The following is a 22,951-nucleotide window of genomic DNA, read 5'->3' on the forward strand; positions in this document are numbered from 1 at the left end:
CAATTCCAATTGCCTACTACAAGTTCCAGATTTTTCCAACCCTTCTCAGCTGTCTCTAATTATTAGGTACCTCACTAGAGGCAGCAGAGCCCAATCCAGTCCTAGAATTAATGAGAATTCAGGCTGGCAGGAGATGTCAGCTACTTTGCCTATGAACAAAGAGGATCTAGAAATAATGCAGTCTTTTAACTTCCCCATGCCTAAAGTCTGAGCACTCTAAAACGGACAGAGCCCTAAGTTGGCCACATATGGTCACAACATAACATGCCAGGGAAAGATGAAAAAACTGCAAAATCATGCCCAGAAGGGTGTTCAGCTGGTCCTTTTGCCCAGGTCCGTGATGCCTATTTTGTTTTTTGCCAGTTCACTAGGAGCAGAATTGGAAGTATCTTTGTTCCCTAGGAAATTGGCAACTTGTAATGGGGAGGATAAAACTGACTTCTTAGCCTAAATCAATCCTTTTCCTCGCGGCTTGATTTTGATCTTTCACTTTTTTCATCAGGCTCTGAAAATCTTCCCTGATGAGTTAATCTTCACCTACCACATGAGTCTCCCTGTCTCATGCTATGAGGATCACTTTCGGAGCATCGTGGGACCTGCCTAACTGGACTTGAGTTTGCCTCACCCTGCCCTAGATATCCCTCTAGGGAGACTCTATCCTTGATGTTCAGAACTTTTATAAACCTACCACTGTTGATTATTACTCAGACCTTGCTTGCCTCTCCCCTCAAGCCTTTTCTCAACTAGCACAGCCAGTATCAGGACATTTATAATTCAGCTCTTTAGGACAGAACTCAATGCCCCATATTCTCTTGTGTTTACTAGTTCTTCTCCTCATATCACTTTTTCCCAGACATCCAATCTCCAAATCATTTGTCTTTGACAAACTTTCTTCTTTGCAACTCTAGAACCCTTTGCCACCTTATTTTATTCCATCTCCATGACAACTCCCATCTGTTCCTCCATTACCTAGCTCAAACAAAATATTCATTTTTATCTCTCTTGTTACTTGCCTTGACCCAGCTCATCCTCTAACCAAATTAATCTGTGTGGTATCTTTGCCAGTGACCCTTGCCCTCCCCCATCCAGGCCTTTATTCTGACTGTTCTCACAGATGACAACATTTTTCCCACACCGCTTCTGACTCCAAAGTTGTATTCAGTTTTCAAAGCCAGTTTTCTAATCTGTAAAATGAAATTAATACCCATGTCATGAAGGATTAAATAAATAATGTGAGTAAGGCACTTGAAATATAATTATTGTTATTATTAATGTTAATATGATTATCACTCATCTCTTTCATAAAGTATTTTCTGATTCTCCCCAAACTAGAAATAATTCCTCTCTCCTGAATATTCATGGGGGCACACTTGCTATTCCGTCCCCCAGTGTCATCACTTTCTATATTTCATTACCGTTGTTTTTGTGTATGCCTTATCTAATCATAACGGGTCCTAAGCTCCCTGCGGTCATGGATCGTTTATTGAGCATCTTTATTCCTTCTCCAGTGCACAGAATAGACACCTTGTAAGTATTTGCAAAAAGAAGGAACAAAATCACCACACTGGTAATTATAGCTTTGGTACAATCTCTACTCACAAATTACATCTTGATGAAATTACAAATTAACAAATCCCATTATACTTACAAATTACATAGTGAATCATTCATCTGGAGGGTGATTACCTGGCTCTTTGAGAGGTGTTGGCAGGCTCTAAAAGACAGGCAAAGACCTGAAGAAGGCGTTGCTGCTGCTCAGAAGTAAGAAACTGGCAAGGCTTTTTGTCCCTGGTGAACTTCTTCACTTCTTATATTGAATTTCTTCCATTCTTTTGACTATAAGATGCACCATTATTCTATCAGCTACCAAGAAAAAAAGCCCCAAAATAGGGAGTCTAATAGGAAACTCTGGCATGAAGCTGGGACACCCCACACCCCAAGGGATTTTTATTTCTCAACCTTTGCAATGAGAGGAGGGAGAAAATAAAAATCTCCTCTGAGATTTTGAACCTCAAGCCATTAGTCACATCAGCATGAGGTCTGAATACACACTATTGGTGTGATGAAAAACCTCTAGAAGAGAATTTAATTTGAAGTGGTCTCTGACTGGTAGTGTCCCTAGTTAACTGTTGGAAATAAATGCTTCCATAAGAGATTCATTCCAGGGCAACAGCAATGCCATAAAATGCCATTGATTGTACCATGCATCCCAATGTCAGAGGTGTTAAATTGTGAAAAATGTCATCTTAGAACTAATGCTGTATGTTGCTTCCATTAAAGACAAAGAAAGGTCTGCAAATAGCTCAATGGGGAAGATATAAAATAAAAACAAACCTCTGCTTCTTTGACATTTTAACCAGGCCAATTGCCTCTTTTCCAGGAACAAGGGAGGCAAGAACCCTAGCTCTATTTTCTTTTTTTTTATAATTATACTTTAAGTTCTAGGGTACATGTGCACAACGTGCAGGTTTGTTACATAGGTATACATGTGCCATGTTGGTGTGCTGCACCCATTAACTCGTCACTTCCATTAGGTATATCTCCTAATGCTATCCCTCCCTCCTCCCCCAACACCATGACAGGCCCCAGTGTGTGTAATGTTCTCCACCCTGTGTCCAAGTGTTCTCATTGTTCAATTCCTACCTATGAGTGAGAACATGGGGTGTTTGGTTTTCTGTCCTTGCGATACTTTGCTCAGAATGATGGTTTCCAGTTTCAACCATGTCCCTACAAAGGGCAGGAACTCATCCTTTTTTATGGCTGCATAGTATTCCATGGTGTATATGTGCCACATTTTCTTAATCCAGTCTATCATTGACGGACATTTGGGTTGGTTCCAAGTCTTTGCTATTGTGAATAGTGCCGCAATAAACATATGTGTGCATGTGTCTTTATAGCAGCATCATTTATAATCCTTTGGGTATATGTCCAGTAATGGGATGGCTGGGTCAAATGGTATTTCTAGTTCTAGATCCTTGAGGAATCACCACACTGACGTCCACAATGGTTGAACTAGTTTACAGTCCCACCAACAGTGTAAAAGTGTTCTTATTTCTCCACATCCTCTCCAGCACTTGTTGTTTCCTGACTTTTTAATGATCGCCATTCTAACTGGTGTGAGATGGTATCTCATTGTGGTTTTGACTTGCATTTCTCTGATGGCCAGTGATGATGAGCATTTTTTCATGTGTCTGTTGGCTGCATAAATGTCTTCTTTTGAGAAGTGTCTGTTCATATCATTTGCCCACTTTTTGATGGGGTTGTTTGATTTTTTTCTTGTAAATTTGTTTAAGTTCTTTGTAGATTCTGGATATTAGCCTTTTGTCAGATGGGAAGATTGTAAAAATTTTCTCCCATTCTGTAAGTTGCCTGTTCACTCTGATGGTAGTTTCTTTTGCTGTGCAGAAGCTCTTTAGTTCAATTAGATCCCATTTGTCAATTTTGGCTTTTGTTGCCATGCTTTTGGTGTTTTAGTCATGAAGTCCTTGCCCATGCCTATGTCCTGAATGGTATTGCCTAGGTTTTTTTCTAGGGTTTTTATGGTTTTAGGTCTAACATTTAAGTCTTTAATCCATCTTGAATTGATTTTTGTATAAGGTGTAAGGAAGGGATCCAGTTTCAGCTTTCTACATATGGCTAGCCAGTTTTCCCAGCACCATTTATTAAATAGGGAATCCTTTCCCCATTGCTTGTTTTTCCCAGGTTTGTCAAAGATCAGATGGCTGTAGATGTGTAGTATTATTTGTGAGGGCTCTGTTCTGTTCCATTGGTCTATATCTCTGATTTGGTACCAGTACCATGCTGTTTTGGTTACTGTAGCCTTGTAGTATAGTTTGAAGTCAGGTAGTGTGATGCTGCCAGCTTTGTTCTTTTGGCTTAGGATTGTCTTGGCAATGCAGTCTCTTTATTGGTTCCATATGAACTTTAAAGTAGTTTTTTCCCATTCTGTGAAGAAAGTCACTGGTAGCTTGATGGGGATGGCATTGAATCCATAAATTACCTTGGGCAGTATGGCCATTTTCACAATATTGATTCTTCCCCATGAGCATGGAATGTTCTTCCATTTGTTTGTGTCCTCTTTTAATTCGTTGAGCAGTGGTTTGTAGTCCTCCTTGAAGAGGTCCTTCACATCCCTTGTAAGTTGGATTTCTAGGTATTTTATTCTCTTTGAAGCAGTTGTAAATGGGAATTCACTCATGATTTGGCTCTCTGTTTGTCTGTTATTGGTGAATGCTTGTGAATTTTGCACATTGATTTTGTACCCTGAGACTTTGCTGAAGTTGCTTATCAGCTTAAGGAGATTTTGGGCTGAGACAATGGGGTTTTCTAAATATACAATCATGTCATCTGCAAACAGGGACAATTTGACTTCCTCTTTTCCTAATTGAATACACTTTATTTCTTTCTCCTGCCTGATTGCCCTAGCCAGAACTTCCAACACTATGTTGAATAGGAGTGGTGAGAGAGGGCATCCTTGTCTTGTGCCAGTTTTCAAAGGGAATGCTTCCAGTTTTTGCCCATTCAGTATGATATTGCCCAGCTCTATTTTCTAAGTTCAGTAAATAGATTCTGCGCGTGTGAGGCATCAGGGTCTGTGCTGATCCCACTTCCCTGTCCTATCATGCCCATGGTGGGAGCATATATGGGGTTGGTAGCAGGTGGTGAGATTGGGTTTCTCTAATCCCACTGGACTGAATCCTCCTACCTACTAGCACCTTGACTTCACTCCATGGACAGGCTTCTTCCCTTGTTCACCTGCCTAGTTGTCCACGTGCTTATTTGTTCTCCTTTCTCCCATTTTGCAGAACACAACAGGAAGCAGCTCATTCATCTAAGAAGACATTCTATGTTATAGGGTACACATGTGCACACATGCACACACACACACACTTTAAGAAGATTGTCCAATCATGTTTACACTACTGTGAATAAACTGAAATCCCTAAAATATAGCATTTACCCTAAATATGAGTTTAAATGACACCTAGGGAGGAGGAGCAAAGGTGATCTGTATACGTGGGTGAAATACTGCAATGACGGTTACTGGGTAAGTAGAGCTAGTTTAAGGGCTGTAGGTTGGAAAATAGTGGCACCAGTAAGTGAGAATGTGCCAAAAGTAAATTACTCAACTCCATAGCTTTTTTTTCCTGGAGATCCTCATAGGAGCAAGTAACCAAATAAAAGTAAAATATGATTTCAATGTGATTTGAGATACAGTCACACAATGTATTACATATGTATGTGAATCAGTTTAATGCAAAACTATGTAAATGAGGGATCTGTTTAATACTATACTGCTCCTTGATATGAAGATTCACTACCACTGTGTAGACTAGTGCAGATTCAGACTATGAACCAAAACTTGGCAATTCCCACAGTTGCCATTTGCCAAGTCAGCATTGAATTTTTATGTGCAGCCTGTTACTATAACACAGCATATGCAATCTTGAAATTCACTAAAGCAAAATAATGAAAACATCCTTCAAAGACCTGTCTCAGCGATCTTTGCAAATCAAACTCACCTGTAAAGCAGTCAAAATCTAACTTTGGCCTTAACAGTACAATGAAATCCAAATAAGCAAAATTAAGTTTTAAAATACATGTTGATATTTATAAAATATGATGTGCAATCTATAAATTGACCCAAACCATCTAACCAAATTAAGCTGATCTAATTTAGGCAGATCTGTTCAGCATCCTGATTCTGTTCTTAGACAAATGAAAACATGGTGGAAAAAGATAGCATTACGCTCAGAAAAAGCACTAACCTAATCCATGTTATTTTCAACATAACTTCTCCTAAAGGAGGAGTAATTACATATTTTAGTTTTCAAGTTTCTCCTTCCTAGGCTATGAGTTATCTGTCAAGTAAGTGTAAATATACACAGTCAGCCCTCTATTTCTGTGCATTTTGCTTCTGTGGATTCACCCAACAGCAGATCAAAAATATATATTTTTTAAAATGAATAGTTGCATCTGTACTGAACATGTACAGACTTTTTTCTTACTATTATTACCTAAAAAACACAGTATAACAACTATATATATAGCATTTACATTGTATTAGCTATTGTAAGTAATCTAGAGGTAATTTAAAGTATACAGGTGGTATGTGTAGGTTATATGCAAATATCACACCATTTTATATCAGGGACTTTAGCATTTAAGGATTCTGGCATCTGCAGAAGGTCCTGGAACCAATCCCCCATGGATACCAAAAGATGACTATACAAGGCATCGACTAATAAATAGGGCAGGTGCTATCAGTTATCTATAATAATACTAATTGCCTCTTTGACTTCTCTATCTAGGTGTTCTGTATGGCACACTATGCCCCAAACCAAGCTTATTATCTTGCTCAATTTCCAAACATCCTGGAGATGTTATCTCCATCTCCCTGTGCTATCTCAGTAAAAACCAACTAAATTGCTCAAGCCAAGAGCTTTGGACTCATTCTTGATTCCTCCTTTCCCTCTCTCAGTATACTCAACCAACCACTACATATTATCAAATGCCTCTTGCATCCATCCCCTTCTCTTTTCAACAATACCGGTATAGACTCCAATCGCATCTCTCCAGAACTACCCAGCGAGCCTCTGAGCAGTTTTCCCCTGCCAGTGCATTCTCTATTGTACCCCACAAATTATCTCAAGCATAGATGTAATTATTTGGGTTCTCTGATACCCAGAGAAGAAAGTAAAAACTTATTAGATTTGCTAAGGCCCTTCATGATTGGGCCTAAGACAAATTTCATTATCATGTGCAACTACTCTCTGCAAGCCCTGTGATCTAACCACAGTAGGCTACTAGACACTTCCCTATGCCACCCAGGCTTTGTTCAGTTTAGTTGTGTCCTCTGCCTAGAATGCCATGTCCTCTTTTGTCCAATGGAAAACTCCCACTTATCTGTTAAGGTTCAGATCATGCATCATCTCTATTTTGTAGTTTTTCATGACCCCCTCTGGCCCCTCCTTCCATCCACCTTTCCATTGATGTTTTCATGTATCTCTATTTCAGTATTGATTCCATTGTTAAGGCAAAACTGATACGCAATCATTTGCACTGTGGCCATCCATACCAGCTGTATATAGTCAGTCTCCATTCTGATTGGTGGGTACTTGTTCAGCACAAGTATTAAATATTATGAATAACACTCCCAGTTGCTGGCATTATTTCAAATCTATCTTTACCATGATGCTACGAGATTAAGGGCAAGGGCTGTGCTTTATTCATCCTATTTCCAGGGACTGGCATAATATCCTCATATAGTTGTACCCTTATATGTTTGATAAAATGAACAAAATATAGACAGTCTTTATAGTAATTCTTTCTAAAACAGAATTACTTTTATCTAAATAATTGTGAAATTTGCCTGATCTATACCAAAATTATCATCAACCTGTTTAACGATCAAAGCTACACTATGGATTTGGTAAGTTCAGAGGTCAGATATAGTAACCTCTAGTTTGGGTAATTTCATGACTTTTCCTTCTTTGAACCTGGGTGGGAAAATCCTGGACTTTGAAATCAGACAAACCGGAAATTGAATTGAGAGCAATCTCTTAAACCTATGAGACTTTGGTAAGCTGTTTAACCTCTCTGAGATCTATTTCTTCCTTTTCAAAATGGGGAAATGGATACCTCCCTTACCGGGTTGTTAAGAGAACAAGTAAGACCATGTATTTAAGGACATGGCATATAATCCCCCATGAACAGTAAGCTTTAGCCTACTTGGAACTAATTTAAGTTAGTAGAGAAGATTTCTATTCTGAACAGCAATCTCTCCAATCAAAAGAGAGGAGGAAAAGGCAGATAAGGCTTATATTTCCTGGAAGCATCCTGTAGCAGCGTACATAAGACATCACAATGGACTGCATGCCTATTATTATGAGCCAGTGCTGACTGTGCTGCTGAGAAATGGTCATATGGCCAGAGTTATATACTAGGGATAAGCTAAAGGCCCCGCGCAGTGCTTTATTTGTCAAACAGAACTACTGTTGTTTTATCTCCAAAGCATCTGCGTTTAAAACATCTGGATTCATTTTCAATGGAGGCATCTCTTTTGCTGATAAAATGTGAGGAGCAACAAGGTAATGTAGTTGGCAGGTCAGCTGTCAAGATGGGTAATGTTATCATAGTTATGTTGTTTCTCTGACTCTTTGAACCTATTAGGATTAGGAAAGGCGATTCTAAGACAAGAAATTGAGCACCTCTAAATCACAGAATTTAATAATGAAGCCATTATTTTTCAAATATATTACTCTTTTGATTAAACTTTATCATCATAGGTATCAAATTCTGACATAAAAACTGACAAAAATAATTGATATTATAAAGAGTTAAATCTAGTTTAGAAAATATACAGTTGTGTGTTGCTTAATGATGGGTATATGTTCTAGTTCTGAGAGATGCATCATTAGGTGATTTTGGTTGTGCAAACATCACAAAGTGTACTTATGCAAACCTAGATGGTATGGCCTACTACACACCTAGGTTATATGGGATAGCCTATTGCCCCTAGGCTACAAACCTGTATAGCATGTTACTGTACTGAATACTGCAGGCAATTGTAACACAATCTAAGTATTTGTGTATCTAAACATAGAAAGACTACAGTAAAAATGCAATAAAATGTTATGAGACCACTGTCATATTTGAAGTCCATCATTGATCGAAAGATCTTTATGCAGGACTTGGCTGTATTTACTTTTATTTACACCTGACTTCCTTTATTCCTCGACTTTTATCTCATCCTCATCCATGTGAAGGGGCAAAAGCCTGGTATCATGGGTCCCACAGCCAACAGGTCTGAAATGTTTCTTCACTGAGGGAGAGGAAGATTATATGGTAGCTCCATATGGATTTTCAGGATCTAACTAGGATGCCAGAGTGACCAAAAGAAGAATTACAGGCAAGATCTTGCTGTGGTTTCTTCCCTTCACTTCCAAGTACTGTCTGCTTCACATTTTCTACAGCCACAAATAACCCTGTCTATGTATCTGTGTCAACAGAGGACGGTCATGACAGGGAATATTATGCAAAGCTCACTTCCAAGCTTATCATCCTATGATGTAATAATTAAATTAAATCAGCTGTTATTTTTCATACCTGTTAATCGGTAAATTGCATACAAATTTATAACTCACTTTAGATAAGTCTGTCTCCAAATGGTGATCTTGCTCAGAAGCCTATAAAGAATCAAACAAAACACTTAGATCATGAGAAAAGTGGAATATTCAATAGGAGACCTCAAAGTGCGGAAACATTAAAACTTCATGGGCTCCGAATAAATTTTTGGAAGTTGCAGATGGCTTCTCATGAAACCATACATCTGGAAAAAACTTTTTAAAATATGACAACCTAAATTTGATATTTAAATAAGACTGTGTCAATACTCTATAAGCAGAGTTATGTGAGAAATCATCTGTATTTGATTTTCATAATCATTTTTATAGTATCTGCTAATTATAGAATTTTAGAGTTAGGAGATAGTTTGCAATGCTAACTACGAAATGCACACCAAACCTATACCTGAAAACTTTTGTCACCTAATATATAATAAGTTATTTAAGCAGTTTATTTATTTATTTGAGAGTAGGTCTCACTCTGTTGTCCAGGCTGGAGTGCAGTAGCACGATCATGGCTCACTGCAACCTTGACCTCCAGGGCTCAAATGATCCTCCTGCCTCAGCCTTCTGAGTAGCTGAGACTACAGGTTCGTGACACCATGCCTGGATAATTTTTTTTTTTTTTTTTGAGACGGAGTCTCGATCTTTCGCCCAGGCTGGAGTGCAGTGGTGCTATCTCGGTATCTTGGCTCACTGCAAGCTCTACCTCCCGGGTTCACACCATTCTCCTACCTCAGCCTCCCGAGTAGCTGGGACTACAGGTGCCCGCCACTGCGCCTGGCTAATTTTTTTTTTTTGTATTTTTAGTAGAGACGGGGTTTCACCGTGTTAGCCAGGATGGTCTCCATCTCCTGACCTCGTGATCCACCCGCCTCGGCCTCCCAAAGTGTTGGGATTACAGGCGTGAGCCACCGTGCCCGGCCGGTAATGTTTTTAAAAAATTTTAGTAGAGCCGAGGTCTCACTATGTTGCCCAGGCTGGTCTTGAACTGCTGAGCTCAAGCAATCCTCATTCCTTCTGCCTCCCATAGTGCTGGGATTACCAGGCAACCACACCTGGCCAAAAATATCTTTAGACAATATAGGAACACAGATTTTATTTTTACCCTTTTTAATCCCCTTGCTCCTATTTGAGATATCATATCTCATTCTTAAATGTGCCTTGGATTTCCCCGTATCTTTTTGAATCTCAGTGATTCAATTCTAATATTTTGTCCTTGTAATCTTGTACCTGGGTTAATGCACCAGCCTCCGCTGGTAGAGGGAGCCACAAGTGCAGAGATCTGAGATAGGACCTGGCAAAGAGCCTAGTAAGGCTGGGAGAGGGAGCAGAGAGTGATGGGGATGGGCTTAGACAGTGATAAGAAATGAGTGAGAGGCGAAGGAGAGGCCAGAGCCTCAGGGTCTTATCAGTACAGGGGGAGGACTTTGGCTTTCCTCTGAGAGAGAAGGAAAATCACAAGCCAGGGAACCTTGAGCCAATGAGTGTCATGATCTGGCTTGTGTCTTTAAAGGACTACTTTGGCTTCTGTGTTGAAATTAAGAGAATAAGAAGCAGAGAGACCAGAGAAGATGAGACTGCTTCCATCATCCAGGGAGAGCCTATGGCACCAACCTCCAGAATGGTGGCAATGGAGGTGATGAGATGTGTTCGGACTCTGGATATAGTTTGAAAGCAAAGCTGGCAGAATTTGCTGGCAGATTAGATAGGAAGTGTAAGAGGAAAAGAGAAGACAAGATGACTCCAGGGATTTAGACCTGAGCAATGAGAGGAATTGAGCTGCCAATTTATATATATCAATAATATATGTGATGAATATATATGATGTATACAATATATTTATGATTTTTCTCACTTAAAGCACAATTGAAACAATCAAAAATTAACTTTGAGGTAGGCTAAGTGGTTGACCCAAGGTTGTCTTGCTAAGAAGGGACAAGCTTGGCCTTGAGCACTGCTCAGTGTAACCACTGAACCTGTACTCTTTAAGCTATGGCACATCAGCTCCTACACATACCTTTAGTTTTTGGTCAGCAAAAGTCCTATATGATGTTTTGACTTTCGAGAATTGACTTCTAATGCACGGATTTTATATGCCTGAGGACATTTTATAGACCTAATCAGGTATGCAGAATCCAGGTTGCCAGCTCTAGTCCAGAACTCCAGAACTCCAGGTCTCCCATCTTGCAAATGTGACTACATGTAATGCTTTGACAAATAGTAAAGAAACGCATTTTAACATCTGGTTTGACATCTGCAAAGAATGATTCCTTTTAAAATACAACTAACAGGGTTAAAACTTATTTGGAGACTTAAGGAACATAAAATCATAGCTTCAAAGTCGATTATATCATGATGGTATTATTTGCATTTGTTTTCTTTTGGCCACGTGGAAAATTTTCATCATAGACTGGGGTCTAATACTTATTCAGTAAGGAGTGTTTTTCCATGGCTGAAAAATACAAATTTGGTCCTAGAGGTCGTAGATGTGAGTTCTAAAATATTTTATTTATATCATATTTTCAAACTTTCTTTGCATCAAAAGAAATACTAGTTGAAACACTTCTCAAGTAAAACGGATTATACTTGCTGAAAGCATTACTGGTTTTTATTTAAGTTGCTGATTTTTTAATAAAGGGTCTGACCTTGAGGACAGCTGCCAGTTGGCAGAAAGCACAGAGGAGATGAGAAGAGAGTCTGGGGCCAAAATAAACACCCGAGTCTGACAGTTGTGTCCCATGGACTCTTTCATGTGTCTGTAAGACATTCAGGGTCTTGGATTTGAACATTCCTTCATAAAGGCTCACCCTCAGCAAACTCTCTGCTCTTCCAGTTTCATTGGCAGTCTAAAAACCTGGCAGCATCCTTGGGTTCTGCTTGTTAAGACTTGTGAAATACTATGGACTTGGGCTGCAACCTTCAGCTGAATTTAGATGTAGGAAATTAGCAATTACAAAGTGTTCTTTCTGCCAAAAATCACATGCTGCTGCGATTACCTTACTCTGTGATGAAACAGGTCATTTTAATCCTTTGTAGTAGGTGGAACATTATGTACTTAACCAACCAAAAGGAAAAAACTTCTTAACTCAAGGGAGATATTTTCAGCAACCACATGTAGGCTTATGCACATAATAGGAAAAGTAATCCTTTTCCCCCCAGGTAAAATCTTTTAAAGTAATTTTGAAATGCAATTGGCAAAACCCTCTTCACTTTAATAAAATACTTTGTAAATGTGCCAAAGTTTAATACCAACAGACCACACGAAACTAGGTTTCCAACAGCCAACTGAAGAGATGTGATGTCTAATTAGGAAATTGTGTTTTACCTGACCTTTAAGTTTTTGCCTCAATTATCTTTTCTCATTGGTGAGTTATGCATGGCTGGGGTGACACAAGGTTGTTCATTTTTTTGTGATGTTGATTAGCGTGGGTGATTGCTATGATTAGTGAATCCAAGAATTCTATAGCTGAATGAGATCACAAACATTAGCTAGTTCAACTTTCATATTTTACAGATGAAGAAACTAAGTCGCAAAGGATGAACTCACTTGCCCTCGGTCATTGGTCCCGTTGGTGACAGTTAGGTCTGGAATTCAGTTTTCCCATCTCACTGTCTTGAGTAGAAGGAAAAGGCCCAGTGTTCTATGTCATTTGGATGTTGGTGTCTTCCCTTCTGCTGGTAAGGATTATCTAAACCTTTGGAGGAAGCACTAGGGGAAGGGTAGTGTCAAAGGCAAGTAGATTTTATACAGTAAAAGTACTATTTGATTTTTTTTCTTGTTTTAATATTTGTTTTTTTTTCCCCTTCCGTTTGTTTTATGTTGAAAATTCCCCATGATGATACCTCTACCTACTCAGCTACTCAAGCCAAAAACCAAAAGCCATCACCCCATCCACTAGATCACCAACTCTTAACCACTCTGCTGCCTAAATAGCTCTCAGGTCCTGCTTCCCTTTCCATTCTCACCAACACTACCTTCATGCAGCCCTTGTTATCTCCCACTGAAATACTGCAGTAATCTTTTTATTGGTCTTCCTCACTTCCAATGTCTTATTTCTTAGTAGCAAAAACTGCCAGTTGTCCTCCACTTTCATTTTTTCTCCTCCCAGTTTACCTTGGGTTTGGGTGTGACCATGTGACTAAGTGCTGACCAACGGGAGGTAGGTTGAAAAGTCATGCGGCACTTTCTGAGGATCTTCTCAGAAAGACCATTGGCAGGCACAGTTTGCCCTCATTTGCTTTGTCCTTGCTTAAGCTTGCTGCATGGACTGTGGATGCCCTCCTAGACATTAGATTGGGGCTGACATGACAACCAACAATATAGGAAGGGGCTGAGTCTCTGATACGATGGTGAACTGGATCTCTGGACTAGCTTTTTAAGTGGTGAGTTACTGTCAGTCAAGCCAATCCTAACACTTAGTGTATAGCTGATGACCTAAATTCCACAACATCTTGGAGGTTATATTTCTAAAACACAAACTCCTTGACAAACCACATAGCATGCCCTTTGTGACCTGACTTAAGACTTCTCTGTAGCTTCATCTCTCTTCAGGCTTCCCCTTGTGATTAAAGATCCAGCAGCACTGAACCACATGTAGTTCACTTAACCCATTGTAAGCTCTGGCTTTTGCCCATCCTGTTTCTCTCAGCTGGAAAGTTTCTATTCAACCTCTTAAAACCATCTTGGATGGCTCCTTCTTCTGTGATGTCATTTCTTAACACACTGAACTCTAATAGAGTGAATTTATCTCTCCTCTATGTGATTTTCACCTGTTCTTGCTTCTATTATTGCCCCTGTACTCTATGTTGTCTGTACCTATGTCTTCTTTCCTGGATTATTTTCTGTGTCAGTTCGTTCTATTATTGCTATAAAGAAATACTGGAGGCTGGGTAATTTATAAGGAAAAGAGGTCTAATTGGCTCACTGTTCTGCAAGCTGTGCAGGAAGCATGGTGCCAGTATCTGCTCTGCTTCCAGGGAGGCCTCAGGGAGCTTTTGCTCACAGCAGAAAGGGAAGCAGGAGCAGGCACGTCATATGGCGAGAGCAGAAGCAAGAGAGAGGTGGGAGGGTGCTACACACTTTTAAGCAACCAGATCTTGTGAGAACTCACTCACTCTTGTGAGGACTCACTCAATCTTGTGAGGACTCACTCTTGTGAGGACAGCACCAACCGGATGGTGCTAAACCATTCATGAGAAATCTGCCCCCCATGATCCAATCACCTCCCAATGGGCCCTGCCTTCAACACTGGGGATTACATCCCAAAAAGAGATTTGGAGAGGGCATCCAACTATATCAACTACGAATCCATTGAAGAAGAAATCACTATTTTTTTCTTCTTTCTTCCTTTTTAATGGTTAAGGGAGGGCATATTGCCTAGGCCCTCAATAATTGTTTGTTGAACTGAAGTAATATGAATTAAATTCAGAGGGTATTTTAGGAAAGAAGATCAGAAACAAAAAAGCTAGGTGAATATCAGTACATTTTTTAAAAAAATTAACTCACTTATGTATAATTGGCAACATCCTTGGGCCCTAATTATTAATATTTACCAGGCACCATGGTCTTGGGCAGCAAATTTGTTTAGTTATAACTTGTCAAGCTGTTTCATACTAAGAATCAGAAGTTCTTCTAAGGTACGTAGTTAGGCTACTGGTATTAAGGAAAAAAGAAAATAAAAGAACTGGCCATGTCTCAGAGATAGTAAATGTGAAGTGTGGGTGTATAAAAGTTAATTACTGATTATACTAAATGGAAAATGTTCAGGAATAAGGTACCAATAAAACAAAAATAAATCTGCTACTATAGCAACTAACTAGAAATTTAATCAAATCTCCTGACTCATCTGGAATTAACATGGAGAGATTTGTAAATTTGGGTAAAATGGGAGACGTAAGTGGAATTCGATGAGTACTAGTTTGTTTTAAGTTTATTTAAATTTCAACTCAGATAATCCCATGTAAATCTGAGTTATAGGCCAAGCTGTAGGGCTAAAATAAGATAGACCACAAATTCTGGACACTTCAAGATGAGCTATGAAATCATGCTTTCACAAGTATAATATTGATGTAAAGAAGTAAAAGCCAAAAGTATAAAAATAACATACAGTTCAAAATAGACCACATTAAACTATATTGTTCAGGGATGCATACATAGTAAAACTATCAAAAAAGCAAAGAATTGATTGTCAAAAAAAAATCAAGGTAATGATTCCTTCTAGAGCAAAAGATGGGATTGAATTAGCAAAACGTGGGGTTTCTGAGGTCCTGGAAATATTTATTTCTTGTCTTAGGTTGTCCTTACACAGCTATTTCCTTTAAATTATTTATTAAACTGTACATAGATGTTTTATGTATTTTTGCAAATTATTTCACAATTAAAAAGGGAGGAAAGCCTATATATCAATAAGTAAAAGTCAAATACTCAGAAGAAAATGGGAAAAAAATCAGAACTCAATGTTCATTAAATATAAGAAATATGCTCAACATTATTAGTAGCCAGGGAAATTCAAATTAAAATCACAATGAGATACTATTTAATACTCATAAAATATGTTTTAAAAGTCACAATAAGACAACATTAAGTCTTAGTAAGGGTATAGAGGAACAGAAATTCTTACATTGCTAGAAACCGAATTAGAAAACAACTAGGGATTATCTAACAGAGCTGGAGACATAGGTACCCATAACCCAGCCATTACTGTCCAAGGTACATGTACAATGACGTTCATAGCAACATCATTTATTATAGCAAAGTTCTGGAAACAACCCAAATGTTCATCAGTTGGAAAAAGAATAAAATGTCTATGTATATAACAGTCAGAAATCAATTAGAGCCACACACACCTACATGAATGAATCTCATAAACATGTTAAAGAAAACAAATTATTGGGAAAAATATGATGTATTTTACATAAAGTTAAAAACTTACAAAATTATAGGCACACACATATATGCACGTTAGGGATACATACAACAGTGGTAAAACTGCAAAGGAAAGCAAGGAATTGATAAATAGAAAATTCAGGATAATGGCTGAGATTGCCTTTTATAGGGGCTGGGATTGGGGATGGAGGGAGACACAGGTGACTTCAAGACATAGTTAATGCTGTATTTGTTTTGTTTCTTAAGCTGGGTGGTAGGCATGAGTTTGTTCATTTTACTTATTTTTAAATTACATATACTTTATGTATACTTTTCTCAATATGTTATCTATTTCATTTTATACTTTTTACATTAAAAATTAGGAATTTGATTATTGTTTTGATGCTCCAGACCAGCCAAATTTCCAGGAAGGGATGATGAGATTTAAAATCTTCATGGCACAAATATTCTCCACAGAATAACTATAAAAATGCTTTCTTGTCTATAAACTAGGCTGAAGAGAGTGTAGATGGTAAAACTTAATTATTCATTGTGTAGATCTCTTAGAACCAGTTACTCTGTGAGTATCTGCATTCGCAGAAAAAGAATTATCCACCAAGGCTGAGCTTGAAGTAGCCACCACCTGTCTCACCCAGTTTACTAGGTACAGGGAGTTGGCACATTTGTGGGAATTACAAACCCAGAGAAGGGGCAGAGCAAGACAGTGGAAGAGAAGTTTCCACCAATCATGCCCCCTACAAAGACACCAGTTTAACAACTATCTACATGCTATACACAAAAGAAGCACCTCTATAAGAACCAAAAATCAGCTGAGTACACACAATACTTGGTTCTAACTTCATATTGCCAAAAGAGCCACTGAAAAGGTAGGATAAACAGTCTTTAGTCACTGACACCAACCGTCCCCCACTTCCTGGCAGCAGCAGTGTGGTGAGGAGAGTGTTTCAGTGTGCGTGGGAGAAGGAGATCACAGCAATTGTGAGGCACTGAACTCACTGCTGCCTTATTATAACAGAAAAAAAAGGACCATCTCTATTGATGCCCACCATGGAGAGAGCAATTAAAGTAGCCTAGCCAGAGAGGAATTTCCCATCTCAGCAGTCCGAACTTGAGTTTCCCAAAGCCTTGCCACTGCAGGCTAAAGTGCTCTGGGGCCCTTAATAAACTTGAAAGACAGTCTAGGCCACAAGGACTGCAACTCCTAGGTGAGTCCTAGTGCTGGACTGGTCCCAGAGCCAGTGGACTAGGGGGTCATGTGACCTACTGAGAAACCAGCGAGGTGTCTAAGGGGGTGCTAGCATCAACCCTTCCTTAGCCCCAGGCTGCATAGCTTGTGGCTTAAAAACAGACCCCTTGCCTCAGCTTGAGGAGAGGAGAGGGAAGAGTATGGAGGACTTTGTCTGGCATCTTGAACGTCAGCCACAGCAGGATAGAGCTGTGATAGGCAGCTCAGCCCACAACAGGATAGAGCACCAGTAAGAGTTGTGAGGCCCCCTTTCCAGGACTTAGCTCCAGGAAAGGGAGGACCCTGGACGAGAAGGGAATCTGCTGTATTGAAGGGAGGGACCTAATCCTGGAAAAATTCATCATTTGCTAACTGAAGAGCCCTTGGGTCCTGAATAACCAGCAGCAATACCCAGGTACTATGTTGAGGGCCTTGAGTAAGACTCTAACACTGGCTGGCTACAGTTAAGGCTTAGCACATGCTGCATTGGCTACAGAGTGAGACTCCTTTACTTGAGAAAAGTGAAGGGAAAAGCAAAGGAGACTTTGTCTTGTACCTTAGGTACTAGCTTGGCCACAGCAGGGTACAGCACAAAGCAGGCTCTTGGGGTCCCAGATTTCAGGACATGGCTCTTGGATGGCATTTCTGGACCTGCCCTAGGCCAGAGTGGGTTACCAGGCAAAGATCCTTGTTTTCTTCCCTTACTTTTCCCAAATGAATGGAGTCTCTCACTCTGTTCTGAGCCACCTGGGAGTGGTATAACACAAGTACCCCTGTGGCTACCACCACTAGCACTGCACTGGCAGGCAGCATTCACCACAAGGTGGCTGAAGAGCCCTTGGGCTTTAGCAGCAGTACTCCATGTGGGCCTGTGGTGGTGGTGGCCACAGGGTGAGGCTCCTCTGCCTTTGGAAAGGGGATGGAAGAGGGGGAAGGACTGTGTCTTGTGGTTTGAGTGCCATCTCAGCTGCAGAACAATATAACAAAACACTGGATAGACTTCTAAGATTTTTGATTCTAGTCCCTGGCTCCTGGACGGCACCCCTGGACATGCCCAGGGCCTGGGGGAACTTGTCACCCTGAAGGGAAGGACACAGGCCTGGCTGGCCTTACCACCTGCTTTTATAAAGCTCTGGGGCCTTTAGCAAACATAGGGCATAGCCAGGGAGTGGTAACAGCAAGCCTTAGGCAAGACTCAGCTGTGTACTGGCTTCAGGTCTGACCCAGCACACTTGTAGTGGTGGTGGCCACAGGGGTGCTTCTGTCACACAACCTCCAGCTCCTAATAGCTCAGAACAGAGAGAGAGAGAGAGAGAGAGAGAGAGAGAGAGAGAGAGAGAGAGACTCTATTTATTTGGGAGAAAGTGAGGGAAGAGAACAATAATCTGCCTGGTAACCCAGATAATTCTTCCAGATCTTGTCCAAGGCCATTAAAGTAGTACCTCTATGAGTCTGCAAGAACCACAGAGTTATTGGGTTTGTGGTGCCTTCTAAAGCAGATACAACTTAAATTATAACGCCTAAGTTCTCTTGAATATCTAGAAAGCCTTCCCAAGAAGGACAGGTACAAACAAGCCCAGAGTGAGAGGATTCCAAGGAACACCTAAGTCTTGAGTGCCCAGACACTGAAGAATATCTACAAGGATCAACATCATGCAGAAAAACATGGTATCAGAAGGAGAGGATCATGGTGGACAGGAGGCAGAACTAGATTGCAGCTCCCAGTTGAATGGACAGAGCAGCACGTGGAGGCTTGCATCGTGAACTATTGCTCCAGAATGACTGCAGGCATACATTAGGAAAGCCAAGAGAACCCACAGACCCTCTGAAGGAAGCAGATTGCTCCTGCAGGAGTCAGGAGACACCCCAAATACTGTGAGTGCCCAAACTTTGGAAGTGGGAAAGGGAGATCATTTGCCCTGGAACACCCCCACTAGGGAACCTGAAGGTCTAGATTATGGCAGAAAATTCTGACCTTACCTGGAGTTGAATCAATTTAGAGAGCCAAACAAAATACAGGGTAGAGGAAGCAGCGGGAAAAGCCCTGTGGACTCACTGGGTCCCCTGGCAAGCCATTTCTGCCCTGCCTCACAGGGTCCTTGGGGCGGGGGGCAGTCAGAGGCACTGGAAAAAGGCCACAGGGAGCAGGAAACCTCTAGCTGAACTTTGTAACAGTTTGAACTGATTGAGAAGTCTCCTGGCCAGGACTTGGAGAAAGATATGAATTCAGTGTGCAGACTCCACAGGCCTGGGAAGAACAAACGTCCTACTTGGTTTTGCAGCTGGTAAGTGGGTAGCCTGGGGCAAGTTCTCAGCCCTGTTCGCCCACTGCCTGAAAACAGACTTGGTGCTGTTGTAGGGGGTGGGCCACAGTGGGAGTGAAACCAGCCCTTTGGGTTGTGTGGGAGCTTAGTGAGGCCTGTGACTGCCAGCTTTTCCCCACTTCCATGACAACCTGCATGACATAGTAAAGGCAGTCATAATCCGCCTAGGAACACAACTCCATTAACCGGAGAATCTCACCCCCCACCCCCCACAGCAGCTGCAGTAAGACCCGCCCAAGAAGAGTCTGAGCTCAGACATGCCTCACCCTGCCCCCACCTAATGGTCCTTCCCTACCCACCCTGGTAACTGAAGACAAAGGACATATACTCCTGGGAGTTCTAGGGCCCCACTCACCACCATACTACCATAGCTAATGCTCTACTGAAAGCTCCAATCCTGGCAAGAGGCCAACCATCACAAAAATAGTGCATTAAGCAACCAAAGCCAAGGACCCTTACAGAGCACATTTTCCTCCCCTGCCACCTCCACCAGAACAGGTGCTGGCATCCATGGCTGAGAGATCCACAGATGGTTTACATCACAGGACTCTCTGCAGACAACCCCCAGTACCAGCCTGGAGCCTTGTAGATTTGCTGGGTGGCTAGATCCAGAAGAGAGATAACAGTCACTACAGATCAGCTCTCAGGAAGCCATATCCCTAAGAAAAGGGGAGAGTACTATATTAAGGGACCATCCCATGGGACAAAAAAATCTGAACAGCCTTGAGCCCTAGGCCTTCCCAAAGACACAGCCTACCCAAATGAGAAGGAACCAGAAAACCAACTCTGGTAATACGACAAAATGAGGTTCTTTAACACCACCTAAAAATTACTCTAGCTCACCAGCAATGGGTCCAAACCAAGAAGAAATCCCTGATTTACCTGGAAAAGAATTCAGAAGGTTAATTATTAAGTTAATCAGGGAGGCACCAGAGAAAGTCAAAGCCCAATCTAAGGAAATTAAAAAAAAAAAAAAGAAAGATACAAGAAGTGAAGGGAGAAATATTTGATTAAATAAATAGCATAAACAAAAAACATTCAAAACTTCAGGAAACAATGGACACACTTATAGAAACGCAAAATGCTGTGGCAAGTCTCTGAAATATCATTGAACAAGCCAAAGAAAGAACTTCAGAGCTCGAAGACAAGGTCTTTGAATTAACCCAATCTAACAAAGACAAAGAAAAAAGAATAAGAAAATATGAACAAAGCCTCCAAGAAGTCTGGGATTAAACGACCAAACCTAACAATAATTGGTGTTTCTGAGGAAGAAGAGAAATCTAAAAGTTTGGAAAACATACTTGGGGAATAATCAAGGAAAATTTCCCCAGCCTTGCTAGGACCTAGACATCCAAATACAAGAAGCTCAAAGAACACCTGGGAAAATCATTGCAAAAAGATAATTGCCTAGGCACATTGTCATCAGGTTATCTAAAGTTAAGATAAAGGAAAGAATCTTAAGAGCTGTGAGGCAAAACCACCAGGTATCCTATAAAGGACAACCCATCCAATTAACAGTAGATTTCTCAGCAGAAACCCTATGAGCTAGAAGGGATTGGGGCCCTATCTTCAGCCTCCTCAAACAAAACAATTATCAGCCAAGAATTTTGTATCCAGTGTAAGTAAGGATCTTATATGAAGGAAACATAGTCTTTTTCAGACAACCAAATGTTGACAGAATTCGCCACTACCAAGCTGAAACTACAAGAACTGACTTAAAAAAATCTCTAAATCTTGAAACAAATCCTGGGAACACATCCAAACAGCACATCTTTAAAGCATAAATCTCACAGGACCTATAAAACAGAAATACAAAAAAAAAAAAAAAAAAAAAAAAACCCAAGGCATACAGGCAACAAATAGCATGGTGAATGGAATGGCACCTCACATCTCAATACTAACTTTGAATGTAAATGGCCTAAACGCTCCACTTAAAAGACTCAGAATTGCAGAATGGATAAAAATTCACCAAACAACTATCTGCTGCCTTCAAGAGACTCACCTAACACATAAGGATGCACATAAACTCAAGGTAAAAAGGTAGAAAAAGACATTCCATGCAAATAGACACCAAAAGCCAGCAGGTGTACTATTCTTATATCAGACAAAACAAACTTTAAAGCAACAGCAGTTAAAAAAGATAAATAGGGACATTATATAATGATAAAAGGCCTTGTCCAACAGGAAAATATCACAATCCTAAATATATATATGCATCTAAAACTGGAGCTCCCAAACTTATAAAACAATTACTAAGAGACCTAAGAAATGAGATAGATGGCAACACAATAATAGTGGGGGACTTCAATACTCCACTGACAGCACTAGACATCAAAACAGAAAGTCAACAAAGAAACAATTGATTTAAACTATACCCTGAAACAAATGAACTTAACAGATGTATAGAGAATATTTTACCCAACAACCACAGAATATACATTCTATTCAACAGCACATGAAACTTTCTCCAAGATAGACTATATAATAGGCCACAAAATGAGCCTCAACAAATTTAAGAAAATTAAAATTATATCAAGCACTCTCTCAGACCACAGTGGAATACAACTGGAAATCAACTCCAAATGGAACCTTCAAAACCATGCAAACACATGGAAATTAAATAATCTGTTCCTTAATGATCATTGGGTCAAAAATGAAATAAAGATGGAAATTAAAAAATTCTTTGAACTGAATGACAATTGTGATACAACCTATCAAAATCTCTGGGATACAGCAAAGGCAGTGCTAGGAGGAAAGTTCATAGCCTTAAATGCCTACATCAAAGGTCTGAAAGAGCACAAACAGACAATCTAAGGTCACACCTCAAGGAACTAGAGAAACAAGAACAAGCCAAACCCAAACCTAGCAGAAGAAAGGAAATAACCAACATCACAGCAGAACTAAATGAAAGTGAAACAGCAACAGCAACAAAAAATTACAAAAGATAAATGAAACAAAAAGCTGGTTTTTTGAAAAGAAAAACAAAAATTGATAGATCATTAGCAAGATTAACCAAGAAAAGAAGAGAGAAAATCCAAATAAGCTCAATTAGAGAGGAAATGGGAGATATTATAAATGACACCACAGAAATACAAAAGATCATTCAAGGCTACTATGAATATCTTTACATGCATAAACCTAGAAAACCTAGGGGAGATGGATAATTTCCTGGACATATAAAACCCTCCTAGCTTCAATCTGGAAGAATTAGATACCCTGAACAGACCAATAACAAGCAGTAAGATTGAAATGGTAATTTAAAAATTACCCACAAAAAAAGATCCTGGACCAGATGGATTCACAGCACTCAAAGAAGAATTGGTACCAATCCTGTTGACACTATTCCAGAAGATAGAAAAAGAGGGAATCCTCCCTAAATCATTCTATG

General features: G+C 40.0%; 1 protein-coding gene across 20 annotated transcripts in view; it reads right to left on the reverse strand.

Annotated features, from left to right (window-relative positions):
* Window positions 1-22,951, reverse strand: part of LMNTD1 (lamin tail domain containing 1) — a 172,497-nt gene that overhangs the window by 97,194 nt on the left and 52,352 nt on the right. For 11 of the 20 annotated variants that reach the window (XR_931277.2, XR_931276.2, XM_011520575.2 and 8 more), the window contains exons 1-4: window positions 19,220-19,660; window positions 12,676-12,837; window positions 11,146-11,336; window positions 9,147-9,188 (exon numbers count right to left, since the gene is read on the reverse strand). The exons of 2 other annotated variants lie outside the window; for them this stretch is intronic. The gene's annotated coding sequence lies outside the window, so the exon portion shown is untranslated. Of the gene's footprint in view, window positions 1-9,146; window positions 9,189-11,145; window positions 11,337-12,675; window positions 12,838-19,219; window positions 19,661-22,951 lie in introns of those variants that run through there. 7 more of the 20 variants (NM_001352233.2, XM_047428413.1, XM_017018891.2 and 4 more) reach the window with 4 other exon arrangements.

The sequence above is a fragment of the Homo sapiens genome, chromosome 12 (genome assembly GCF_000001405.40).
Source record: "Homo sapiens chromosome 12, GRCh38.p14 Primary Assembly".
Lineage (NCBI taxonomy): Eukaryota > Metazoa > Chordata > Mammalia > Primates > Hominidae > Homo > Homo sapiens.